This window comes from Homo sapiens, chromosome 5 (assembly GCF_000001405.40).
Source record: "Homo sapiens chromosome 5, GRCh38.p14 Primary Assembly".
NCBI classification, from domain to species: Eukaryota; Metazoa; Chordata; class Mammalia; order Primates; family Hominidae; genus Homo; species Homo sapiens.
The window spans coordinates 79,939,958-79,953,104 of NC_000005.10; the positions used below are offsets into that span (position 1 = coordinate 79,939,958).

At 44.9% G+C, this 13,147-nt stretch overlaps 2 long non-coding RNA genes across 2 annotated transcripts in view; both read left to right on the forward strand.

Moving 5' to 3' along the window:
* LOC105379048 (uncharacterized) overlaps positions 1-13,147 on the forward strand; it is a 115,841-nt gene that overhangs the window by 80,097 nt on the left and 22,597 nt on the right. The window lies entirely within an intron of this gene.
* LINC01455 (long intergenic non-protein coding RNA 1455) overlaps positions 1-13,147 on the forward strand; it is a 31,048-nt gene that overhangs the window by 3,379 nt on the left and 14,522 nt on the right. The window contains exon 2 of the long non-coding RNA NR_131226.1: positions 2,454-2,672. This is a non-coding gene — a long non-coding RNA (long intergenic non-protein coding RNA 1455). The remainder of the gene's footprint in view (positions 1-2,453; positions 2,673-13,147) is intronic.

Here is a 13,147-nt window from a genome sequence, read left to right on the forward strand (position 1 = left end):
GCAGATCACCTGAGGTCAGGAGTTCAAGACCAGCCTGGCCAACATGGTGAAACCTTATCTCTACTAAAAAATACAAAAATTAGCCAGGCGTGGTGGTGAGCACCTGTAGTCCCAGCTACTCGGGAGGCTGAGGCAGGAGAATTGCTTGAATCCAGGAGCCAACATGGTACTACTGCACTCCAGCCTGGGCGACAGAGTGAGACTCTGTCTAAAAAAAAAAAGAGTAGGACCACAGCTGAGCCTCAGGAAGGAAGCTTATCAGGAAATGACAGGAAAGAGCAGGGCATGCTCTTGGCTTTTTGTCACCACCTCCCTCTGGGTCTTCTTCACTAGCTCCTGCCCTTGTGGCAGGCAGGCAGGCAGGCAGGAGACTGTGGCCTCACAACTCCTGGACATACGCATTATAGGTCCAACTGCATGTGAATCATGACTATCAGTCTCAAATCCAGTTTCCTGGGGAAAAAAATCTGACTGGCTTCACTTGGGCCAGGTTTCCACTCCTGCACCAAGATGCCCCAACATGGGACAAACAGTGCTGCTATGGACCCAAACCAGTTTCCAAAGAGGGTGGATTCACTGTTAGCAGGACAGACGACCCCAGGTACGCCATAATCCTGAGCAAGTGATTTAGCCCCTCAGAGCCTGTTTCCTATGTGTGTCGGGGCTCACAAAAGGCTACCCCAAAATACAGCACCCTGGAAATTTAGAAAACAGCAGGGGCAGAAAGATCACTCTGATAGTCCCCCACCGTTCTGTGTGAGAGCAGGCCATAAAGGACTTCTTTGACCTACCTTCCCCGAAAGTAGAGTGGTAAGCCCCTCATATGATAAGTGTCTTGCCTTATACTCAGAGGATAGCCTGTCTGCTACACAGGGAGGCCAAGAAGATTCTGAACAAACAGGATTTGTTAGGTTCCCCCCAGCTTATTACCATTAGATCATACTCTTCTAGTCCAATCATATCTCTATACAACTGTCCATTTTCCACCAAACCTAAGTGTACAGTTTTCCCTGGACCTTTGGGTCTTCATTTCTGAAGTTTCTGTGTCATGTAAAACTTTGTTTAAATAAGTTTGTTATGCTTTTCTCTAGTTAATCTGACTTTTATTATGGGAGTGTTAGCTATGACCTTTGCAATGGGGGAAGAAAAGGTATTACTTTTTCTCCCTTACATCCGTAAAATGGAGATGTTAGAAGTTATCTCTCTAGACTGTTGTGAAAATTAAATAATTTCAAAGCATTAACAAAAGGAAATCAAATAATAAACCAATAAAGACAAACACCTCTTTGTGAACTACAAAACACTACAAAATGTTAATTTAATATATCTTTTATATAAGTCCTTTTATTCAGATTCTGTGAAACTACTGAAAATATAAGAATGAATAGATCTAAGATCAGGCAGGAATACCCAGAGGGACCTGTTGCTGCTTCTAGATCCTTGGTACATTTATTCCAGCCATTCCCAAAAACGAAAGTGACTTATCCAAAGCTATAGAAAATATGTTTAAATTATCTTTAGTTTTTTCTAACTATGGAATAGTATGTCTTTACTGTAAGCATCAAATAATATAGAAAAATATTGAAATGTACTCAATAATAAGTAAAATATCTCTCATCATTCACTCCTGCCCTAACCATGAGAAACTCCAACAACAACACTGTTACAGTTTGGCATTTATCCTTGTATGTGGTTTTTATGCAAGTACACACACACACACACACACACACACACACAGGGATGCTGGTTTTCCCTACAAATGGAGTCACACAATACACACTTTTTTGAACTTTTTATTATCTCTTCCCATGTCAGTATATATAGGGTCTAGTAATCTATAACCACTGCTTAGTACTACTTTGAATGACTGTACCTCAAAGTATCTGTTGTTAGATAGATAGATACTGCTAGAGGACATTAAAGTCAAAACCAAAACTTGTTTTAAAACCAAAACTTGTTTTTTTTTTTTAAACCTTTTTGTTTTTTCAGAACATTCCAAAAGCTTGTGGAAAATAGGGAAGTAGTAGGAAACCCCCACAGAGGCAAAGGCAAAATCAAATGCAATCCCTCACCTGGTAGGTGGCTGAGCCATGACAAGATGCCTGGCCCATTGCAGTGCTGGTCCACCCCGTTAGAACCTCAGGGCTCAATGAATTCATGTTGAAAATATAGTGGCTTCAATGTATCTTCACATGTCAGAGTTCAGAATAGTATCAAGACATGTTTAAAGACTTAGTGCAAACGACTAGGCTGGAGGTTTCCACACATTGGGATATCTTTTTTCTGATATCTACAAATCCATCCAAAATTCATACTCTGAATCAGATGGGCTATAAAGAGAGACAATTTAGCACTGTGTCAAGATGGGCCTTCTCTCCACCTGCCAGGACCCTTCCCAGGAAGCAGAGCATTTACTCAATTTCTCTCCGGCACATTTTCTTTACCAAACCCAGATAACAGAAGAGGTTTCTGGTAAGGCAGAGAAAAGCGAGTGATGCTGTTAACATTGTATCCACCAGAGTGATGCTAAAAGAGAAGCAACCTCATCCACAGCCAATATGTGTTGAGTGCCTGCCATACGCCTAGCCTTGCTATAGGCACTTGGGATTCAGCTTCCCAACTTACGGAGTTTCCATTCTATTGGGGAATATAGGCAAAAGAGAAATTAAAAGGTATGTTATATGGTATGTTTTAAATGATAAATGTTGGGAACAAAATAAATCAGGAAAGGGGTAGAGAGCACTGAGGTTGGAGGTTCCCTGTTTTCCATAGATGGTATATTCATTTCCTAGGGGTGCCTTAAAGTACCACCAACAGGGTGGCTTTAAAACCACGGAAATGTATTCTCTCACAGTTCTGGAAGCTAGAAGTCAGAAATGACAGTGTTCAAGGGCCATGCTCCCTCCAGAACCTCTAGGGGAGAATCCTTCTCTGCCTCCTCTAGCTTCTGGAGGTTGCAGTAGCCCTAGATGTTCTTGGCTTGTTGACAGAGTAACTCCAGTCTCTGCCTCCACTGTCACATGGCCTTCATCCCTTTGTGTCTGTGTCCAAATTTCCCCCTTTTTAGAAGGATACCAGTCATTAGATTTAGGGCTCACCCTAATCCAATGACTTCAACTTAATTACATCTCCAAAGACCCTATTTTTTTTTTTTTTTTTTTTGAGACAGAGTCTTGCTCTGTCACCCAGACTGGAGCAGTGGCACGATCTGGGCTCACTGCAACCTACACCTCCCGGGTTTGTGCCTCAGCCTCCCGAGTAGGTGGGATTACAGGTATGCATCACCATCTCTGGCTAATTTTGGTATTTTTAGTAGAGATGGTATTTTATCATGTGGGCCAGGCTGGTCTTGAACTCTTGACCTCAGGTGATCTGCCCACCTTGGCCTCCCAAACTGCTGGGATTACAGGCCTGAGCCACTGCTCCTGGCTAAAGACCCTATTTTCATATTTATAGGTACTGGGTATTAGGACTTTGACACATCTTTTGGCGGGTGAGGGGGACACATTCAACCCACAATTGTTGTTAGGACTGTGTCACTGAGAGGGTGACAGCTGAGCAAAGTCAAACGAAGGGAGGGAATAAATTATGCAGCTATCATTAAGGAAAGAACTCCAGGCAGAGAGAATAGCAAGTGCACAGGCTTGGAGGCGTGACTCCAAGGATGGTGACTGGAATGTTCACAGAGCAGCTCGTTGGCTATGGTGGCTAGAACAGCATGGACATGGACGAGAGGAAAAGGTGGCGAGTTCAGAGAGGAAACTGGGTGGCACTGGCTTATGCTGGGTAGGGTTTTGGGCCGAGTGACAGGATCTGATGTACATTTCAAAAGGTTCTCTTGGCCGGGCGAGGTGGCTCACGCCTGTAATCCCAGCACTTTGGGAGGCCGAGGTGGGCAGATCACTTGAGGTCAGGAGTTCAAGACCAGCCTGGCCAATATATAGTGAAACCCCGTCTCTACTAAAAAAATACAAAAATTAGCTGGATGTGGTGGTACACGCCTGTAGTCCCAGCTACTTGGGAAGCTTAGGCAGGAGAATCGCTTGAACCCAGGAGGTGGAGGTTGCTGTGAGCCAAGATTGTGCCACTGCACTCCAGCCTGGGTGACAGAGCAAGACTCCATGTCTCAGAATGTCTTTAAAAAAAAAAAAAAAAAAGGCTTTCTTGCTTGCTGCCGTGTTAAGAGTAATTGAAGGGGGAGAGAGTGGAAACAGGGAGACTAGTAATTAATGGAAAGGTTGGTTTGCCTTTAGTTGTTTTGCTTGGAGGCACCTGAAGAAGCTAAAGCTGCTCTCAATATTCTGATCCATCGAGGGAAAATATAAACAATCTCAGTAACATCTCCGAAGATGTGATCCCTGAGAACCAGGACCTTGGACAATAGAGAACTTGGCCCACAGACCACAGATAGAAGTAAGACAGGGCGACCAGGGGTTCCCAGGTGTCTGTCCAGGAGAGATTCGATGCCAATTCACTGAGACAAATGAGAGAGATCTGTAGCTAGAATGTCTGTTCCACAAGGACAGGGATCTTTGCTTTAATTCTAACACAGAGCCAAGTATCTGACACATGGTAGGCACTTAACAAATATTTGTTGACTGATTGACTCAATGGGAAGTAAAGAGCTCTTTTTCTCTCCTATCCCTGGACTCCATATGTGCTTGATTAATAATAGTAAAGTTTTTTTTCTAGAATGGACAGTTAAAGGTAACTAAGACCTGCCCGGGCACAGTGGCTCAAGCCTGTAATCCCAGCACTCTGGGAGGCCAAGGTGGGTGAATCGCTTGAGGCCAGGAATTAGAGACCTGCCTGGGCAACATGGTGAAACCCCGTCTCTACTAGAAATACAAAAAAATTAGCCGAGCATGGTGGCATGTGCCTGCAGTTCCAGCTACTCAGGAGGCTGAGGCACGAGAATCAGTTAAACTCAGGTGGCAGAGGCTGCAGTGAGCCGAGATTGAGCCACTGCACCCCAGCTTGGGTGACAGAGTGAGACTCTGCCTTAAAAAAAAAAAAAGAGAGAGAGAGAAAACTAAGACCTTACAATAATAAATGTCTACAACCATAAATAATTCCAAACCCAGCCAAAGGCCTACTTATTTCCAACAAGAATTGGTTTTGCATAATGCCCTAGCAAGGGAAGAATTGGTGCTGGTCACTGGAGTTGGCTTAAAGACGTTTAAGGGACATGTCTAGGACAGTGGGCTACCCAGTCTGCTCAGGACCTCACTGCATGTGCACTCCAAGATTAGCAAGGACGTGCTGGGTGCGGTGACTCACCCCTGTAATCCCAACCCTTTGGGAGTTCAAGACAGGAGGATCGCTGAGGCCAGGAGTTTGACACCAGCCTGGTCAACATAGCAAGACCTCATCTCTACAAAATATTTAAAAAATTAGCTGGGCTGGGCACAGTGGCTCATGCCTGTAATCCCAGCACTTTGGGAGGCTGAGGTAGGCGGATCACTTAAGGCCAGGGGTTCAAGACCAGCCTGGCCAATATGGTGAAACCCTATCTCTACTAAAAATACAAAAATTAGCTGGGTATGGTGGTAGACACCTGTAATCCCAGTTACTTGGGAGGCTGAGGCAGGAGAATCACTTGAACCCAGGAGGTGGAGGTTGCAGTGAGTCAAGATTGTGCCACTGTACTCCAGCCTGGGCGACAGAGTGAGACTCTGTCTCTAAATAAATAAAATAAAATATAATAAAATAAAAATAAAGAATTAGCCAGGCATGGTGGTACATGCCTGTAGTCCTAGCTACTCTGGAAGCTGAAGTATGAGGATTGCTTGAGCCCAGGAGTTCAAGGTTACAAAGAGCTGTGAGTTATCACTATACTCCAGCCTGGGCCACAGAGCAAGACCCTGTCTCTTAAAAGACAAAAACAAGATTAGTGAGGTATAGCAGGCATGGAAAGTTGAGAAAAAAAGACAAAAATACACAAATCTGCAAATAGAAATGAATACATACAGGAAATGATGAATAAATTTGGCTCCATTAAAACACACACATACACACACACACACACACACACACACACACACTTCTGTACCAGAAAATACATTATTCACAAAGTTAAAAAACAAGGCAAAGCCTGCGGGAAAATTTTAGCAATGCATATAAATGACTATGGATTATTACCTAGAACATAAGGTAATGGCTCCTAAACCTCCCCTCCAAAAAAAGAAAAATCAAGAAAAATATGAATAGGCAATTTACATATGAGAAAATACAAATAAACTTAAGAAACCATGCTGAGTCTCACTGATATTCATGGAAAAAATTAAAACAATAATATGTATACCCATCAGATTGGCAATAATTTAAACATTTGATACTATTTTGATATGGCCAGGGTGTGAGGAAACGGGTATGCTCACACAATCCCAGTGGAAATGTATGTTAGTATAGCCACTTTGGAGACCAATCTGGTAGTGTCTAAAACAAAATTAAAAATTTTGCATAGCACCTGACCCAGCAGTTTCACTTGTCAGTAACTATTCCCAAAATATACTCATCCTTATCCACAAGGAGGCATGCCCAAGATGTTCACAGCTTGTAACAATAAAAGACAGGAAACAATCAAGATATCCAACAACAGGGAATTACTGAATATGCTTTAGAATACTGTGCCACATTAAAAAGAAAAAGACACTGAATGGATAGGTCTTCAAGATACATTATTGAGCAAAGAAGGAAGATTGCAGAGCCTGAAAATATGACACTATTAATGAAAACAGAAAAGAAAGCAAAAGTAAACACTATATAGTATCTATGAGTGCATATGAGTAAGTGCATAACAAAAATATCTGGAAAGAAACACACCAACCGGTAATAGTGATTTAACTCTGGGAAGGAAGAGAGAAGACTAGGGGTGATTTTACTTTTCCAAGGAGAATTTATTCACGTTGTCACTGGAGTGTTTGGACATAAATTATTCAAGAATACTAAAATCAGTTATAAAAATTATAAAGAGATTGACACAAGAATATGGGCTGGTTGTGGTCCGAGGGCGTTGCTGAGCTTGATGAGAGGGAAGAATACCAGCGTGGGTCATCAGGAGTGCTCTGCAGAGGGGTGGGACCTGAGGCCCAGGGGGGTCACTGAGGGAATGAAGGAACAGGAGGGGGAGTGAGCTACCTTAAACAGGATGTATTTGGAAAACACAAAAGGGTCCTGCCTCGCTGGGCTTTCCTAAAAATGACTGTATAATTTTTCTGATTGTTAAATAATCCATGCTTATTGTCCAAAAATTCAGTTGACACAGAAAAATGTAAAAAAGAATTAAATATCCCTCAGCAAGCCACCTCCTAGAGAGAATCGCCATAGACATTTAGGTGTATACACTTTCCATGACTGCTCAAGCACTGCCCATCAGCTAATGCCTGTCTCTGCACAGCCCTACGAACCGAATGACCAGCCCCAGGGCTCAACCAAGTCAGGGTGCAAGCAAAGCCTGTCTTCAACTGTATCCCTAATTAGGCTCCAGCCAGGAAGAAGCTGCCTGAGAATTCACAGGATTAGGGATGAAGGTGAAAATCTATCTTCTAGACAAGAATAAATGTCATTTCTTTTTTCATAAAGAGGAAGAAATATTTATTCCTCAAAACTACATTTTACCCCCATTAAAACGTCCAGTTCATATTGCCAGTCAGCAAAAGGCCAATCTTCAGCACTGTCTCCTGGAGGGGAAGAGGACAGCTTTATGGTGACTCAGGGGATGGGCTGAACCTCCTGGACTTGTTCTCAAAGTTATCCCAAGCTTCTTTGCCAATAGTCCAAAAGCAGCTGAATTTGAAATGCTTGGATGGAAAAGTGCTTTTCCTCATTCCCATTGATAACTACTGAGCCTTTTCTGGCCAGATGCTTGTCAACAAGAGATAAACGTGTGCAGTAGTTTAGGAGGGAGGGGGGGCAGTTGCTGAGATGTCCAGAATTGAGGCAGGCTCTGGAGCTGCTTGACAAGCCTACGTTTAGGGCAGACACCTCTCTCTCCTCCTTAGAAGGACAGAAGACCATTTGATGGTCATGGACCTGAGTCACGGTGCTCAGATAGAGCTCCATTTCTGAAGCCTGCACAATTGAGGACCATGTAAGGAGTTGGCTATAGTTTTCATCATGTGGTCAAAAGACAACTGAGACCTTACAACAATGAATGTCTGCAACCATAAATAATTCCAAGCCCAGCCAAAGGCCTACTTATTTCCAACAAGAATTGGTTTTGCATAATGCCCTAGCAAGGGAAGAATTGGTGCTGGTCACTGGAGTTGGCTTAAGGACACTTAAGGGACATGTCTAGGACAGTGGCCTACCCAGTCTCCTCAGGACTTCACTGCATGTGCACTCAAGATTAGCAAAGATGTGCTGGGTGCAGTGACTCACCCCTGTAATCCCAGCCCCTTGGGAGGCCAAGACAGGAGGATCACTGAGGCCAGGAGTTTGACACCAGCCTGGTCAACATAGCAAGACCTCATCTCTACAAAATATTTAAAAAATTAGCTGGGCTGGGCACAGTGGCTCCTGCCTGTAATCCCAGCACTTTGGGAGGCCGAGGTAGGTGGATCACTTGAGGCCAGGATATCAAGACCAGCCTGGCCAATATGGTGAAACCCTATCTCTACTAACCATACAAAAACTAGCTGGGCATGGTAGTGCATGCCTGTAATCCCAGCTACTCAGGTGGCTGAGACAACAAGAATTGATTGAACCTGGGAGGTGGAGGTTCAAGCTGCAGTGAGCCAAGATAGCGTCACTGCATGCCAGGTTCTAACTTTCCTAGGTTCTAACTCAGCACGGGTGGAGAAGATAGTGCCTTTTGTAGGAGCCCCATGTCCCTGCTGCTTTCCATCAAACACAGCCACAATGACTGAGGTCTGACAGTATGGACAGGATGATGCCAGATTCTGGGGACACCAGGATGAATGAGACAGCATCCTCTACCTCAAGGAGCTTCTAATCTAGTGGCCCAGATAGAAATGAATGGCATGGACATTAATACAGATGAAATGACATAAGGCCATTGTAACTAAAGACCAGAAAAACAGCAAGATGGAAAAGGCTTATAGGAAGTCTACCAGTCTACAAAAGACGTTTGCATAAATAGATGGACTTAGCAGAGTTAATGTAGGTGTATGATTAGCAGTATGGGGCTCTTGTGCTCAGCCAGCCAAGCTGTCACTTGGTTTATTATGGGGTTTATTCACTGTTTCCACAGCATTAACCCCACCTCCTGGCTTCTTTCTACTTCTTTCCTCTGGACCAAGTTTCAAGTCCCATCTATTGGGTTCTCTCTTCTCATCCTGACTGATCCTAGACATGTCCAAAGACATCCTTGGGTGTTGGGTCAAGATGTAGTGTCTCTTCACCAAGTTGAATGATGTGTTGGGTGAAGATGTGCATAAGAATTATTGGCCGGGTGCGGTGGCTCACGCCTGTAATCCCAGCACTTTGGGAGGCCGAGGTGGCGGATCACGAGGTCAAGAGATCCAGACCATCCTGGCTAACATGGTGAAACCCCATCTCTACTAAAAATACAAAAATTAGCTGGGCGTGGTGACGCGGGACTGTAGTCCCAGCTACACGGGAGGCTGAAGCAGGAGAATTGCTTGAACCCGGGAGACGGAGGTTGCAGTGATCTGAGATCGTGCCACCACACTCCAGCCTGGTGACAGAGTGAGACTCCATCTCAAAAAAAAAAAAAAAAAAAAAAAAGAATTATTGATTGAGGGTAAAGAAGATCTACCCCTTACCTGATGAAGAGAACCTGCAGGATCCCTTTTCACTATGGTGACATCCCATGGTAGCTTCACATTTGGCCTCTGCTGGTGAGTAGAGGGGTCAGGGTGGGTGCATTGAAGTTCTTCAGTCCTATCCTTGCTCCCCTTCTTCTTAGCTACACTGGGAGTCACTACCCTGCTACCTGTTTCCTCCACCATATTTCCTAATTTAGGCCTTAGCTTGAGTCTGTTCCCAGGTTTGAGCAGCCCTGAATAGTCTCTGTCTTTTGAATCCCTCAGAAACAGTGTTGGGTGGGACTCAGGTTATGATGTTGCCCTGCCTAACCTTGGAATTGTAGGCCTGGATCAATGGCATGTGGTGATTAAAATGACCCTCTGCATGTCCTCAGCTGTGCCTGGCACCAGAGCCCTCATTTCAGTCCTGGGCTTGAAGCTTCTTTGGAAGCCCACAAAGACTCTTCCCTTCAGAACTGTGAATAATTCTTGATTTCATGCTTGTCCTCAAAAGAACTCAGCTCCCAATTGTCAATGTGTCATAGGCTCCAATTTTAGTTATTTTGTTAAAACTTTTTTTTCCCAAGAATTTGAAGACTTTTTCTGGGGGATCCTCCCCCAGAGTCCTCTGAAAATATTAGCTCCTTGGCCCCTTTCCCCATCAAGCTTCGTATAGGCTGTCAGATGCAGGGACTCCATGGAAAGTTTTTGGAATGACCTCTAATTCTCTGACCTTGGAAGAAAAAAGATCCAGCGAGCAATTTCACAATGCCTCCGCGGAGACTGCAGCCCTTGATTCAAGGAAGGTGCCCTCAGTAGAGACGAGAAAGATCCCCCCAGAATCCCTCAAGCTGTGGCCATTCCTCCTCTAGCCCCTCTCCTGTTCACCCCTCACTACCCACCACCCTTCCACCCAACTGGAGAGAGGGAAGGGTCTATGGTCCACAATTATGAGGTTCCATCCATGGCCCACGGCCCACTGCATGCTAGAGGTTACTGGACTTTAGTGCTCCATAGAAACCTCCAACTCAAAAAGCACTTTGGCCAGTCAGCATACGTTTTATCTTCCTGGGGTTGCAACACCCAGTTTTCTTAGGGAACCACCTTTCTTCCCATTATGCGTGGCTGGGAAAAAAATGTCAACCAGTGAGCCCTTATCTACCTTCCCCAAGGGGTGGCATGTGATGCGGGCTAGACCAGTTAGATTGGGAATGTTAATGAGGAAAATGAGGAGTGGGGAGGCAATGGGAGCTCATTCCTTCCAGAGGGGCCCACCACTGTCCCCCAACAGACCACTGATGATAAATCCTGTCAACTGGACCCTGATGCTGTCCTGGTTCTGGTCCTTTTTCAAACCCAGTTTTCCAGTCTTCCCTTCAATTCTGTGAAGTACTAAATATTATAGGAATCTATCATTGATCTCTTGTTTTTGGTTTTGTTTTGTTTTTTTTTTTTTTTTTGGCTTAAGTTTATAAATGTCCATTTTTGTTGCTTGCAACCAATGCATTTTTTCTTCTCTTTTTTTTTTTTTTTTTTTTTTGAGATGGGGTCTCAGTCTGTCACCCAGGCTGGAGTGCAATGGCACTATCTGGGCTCACTGCAATCTCTGCCTCCCGTATTCAAGCGATTCACCTGCCTCAGCCTCCTGAGTAATTGCGACTACAGGCATATGTCACCACACCTGGCTAATTTTTGTGTTTTTAGTAGAGCTGGGGTTTCACCATGTTGGTCAGGCTGGTCTCGAACTCCTGACCTCATGATCCGCCCACCTCACCCTCCCAAAGTGCTGGGATTACAGGTGTGAGCCACTGTGCCTGGCCAACCAAAGCATTTTAACAAAGGATTTCTCTGATTCCACCCTTTCACTCCATGAGAAAACTGGAGGGCCAGATTAGGTCTTGCCTAGAATCACACAGCAGAAGAGAACAAAGCTAGAAAGAGCTCAACCCACCCAGTCTCTCTGTCTCTCTGGGGGTCTTCCTGCTTCACCAGGCTGCTCGTGTGTCTTTGGCAGTCAAGGCAAGGTTCAGACAGAGGAGCTCTGCCCCACCGTCACTGGGTGATGGTGGCCTCATAGCTCTGGAAGTTTGTCTCTTCATCTCAAGTGCTGAAAGCTAAGGAGAATCTTCAGTGTCTCTGAGGTAATCCATTTTCTTCCTGCTGCTCTTTGAACCTGGGTTGCTAAGCGCTTCTTGAGAAAATAGCTCTGCACCAGACTCTGAGGGAAGATGTGAGGGGTCATGGCACAGGGGAAAATGCTGCCTTATTGCCTAGAGACACAGAGACAAACCTGGGCTTCCACCTCTGCCATTGATTGCTGTGTGGAAGTCCAGCCGCCATGATGGCTGGCCCCTCCCAGGAGCGAGGCCTTCAGGGTGATGGTGACACCTCACTCCTCTTACCTCTACGGGTCCTCATTTGTGTCCCCACCTCTCCATTTCCAGAGCCATCCTCTGAGCAGAGGCATGCACCATTTGTCACCTGGACATGTTTCAACAGCCTTCTCCCAGGCCTCCCTGCCTCCCATTCTTTCTTATTCCTTCCACACTCCCATGTTGGCAGGTGATTGGCAGGGCTGATCACACTGCACTCCCCAACCTCTCCAGCAATTAGAGGCTTCCCATGTCTGTGGAAGGAAGTCAAAGCTCGAAAGGTAAACAGAGCCTTCTTAACCCCTTCCATCTGGCCTTAATTTCCATTCTGTGATGCTGCTCTCTCTCTCTCTCTCTCTCTCTCTCTCTCTCTCTGTCTCTCTCCACCCCTCCAGCTCTGCTTTCTGTCCTCCCTCAGCATACCATGTCCTTTTCACCCAGGCTGTGCTTAGCTCAACCCCCTCAGGATTCCCTGGGTTGAACCCTTTCCTTATCTCCTCCTTTAGAGAGTCTTTCCTGTCTCATGAGTTGAGTCCACACTTCTTGCTTAAAGAATCTTCTGATCCCATCCTCCTCCTCCCATGTGTGTGGTCTCTCCCCTGGTGCTCCCCACAGTACTTTGCTAATGCTTGCATTTGTGCTAGTGTTCCCATTCTACTTTGCACGGTCATCAGTTGTTGGCATAAACTCTCTTTCAGGGGGTCGTAAGTACCTTGAAGACACAAACAAAAGATCTGTATCATCCCTGTGTCCCACCTGTAGTGTCTGGCATTTAATGCTCCATAAAACCGTGTTGAATTTTTCCATTCAACAAATATTTGTCAAATAGTGAGCAGTAGACATATCAACCTAGATTGAGTGCTAGCTCCCACCATTCTCTTCTCCCCCAAATAGATGTTTCTCATTTTCCACCAACAAACCCTGATTCTCCTCTACCCACCAGCTTCCTTCTGCCCTATAGACTTACTCATTGCCTGCTCTCAACTTAAATCGTAACATTTTGTCACATTTGTGTCAGATGTTTTAAAGAAATAAAACATTATA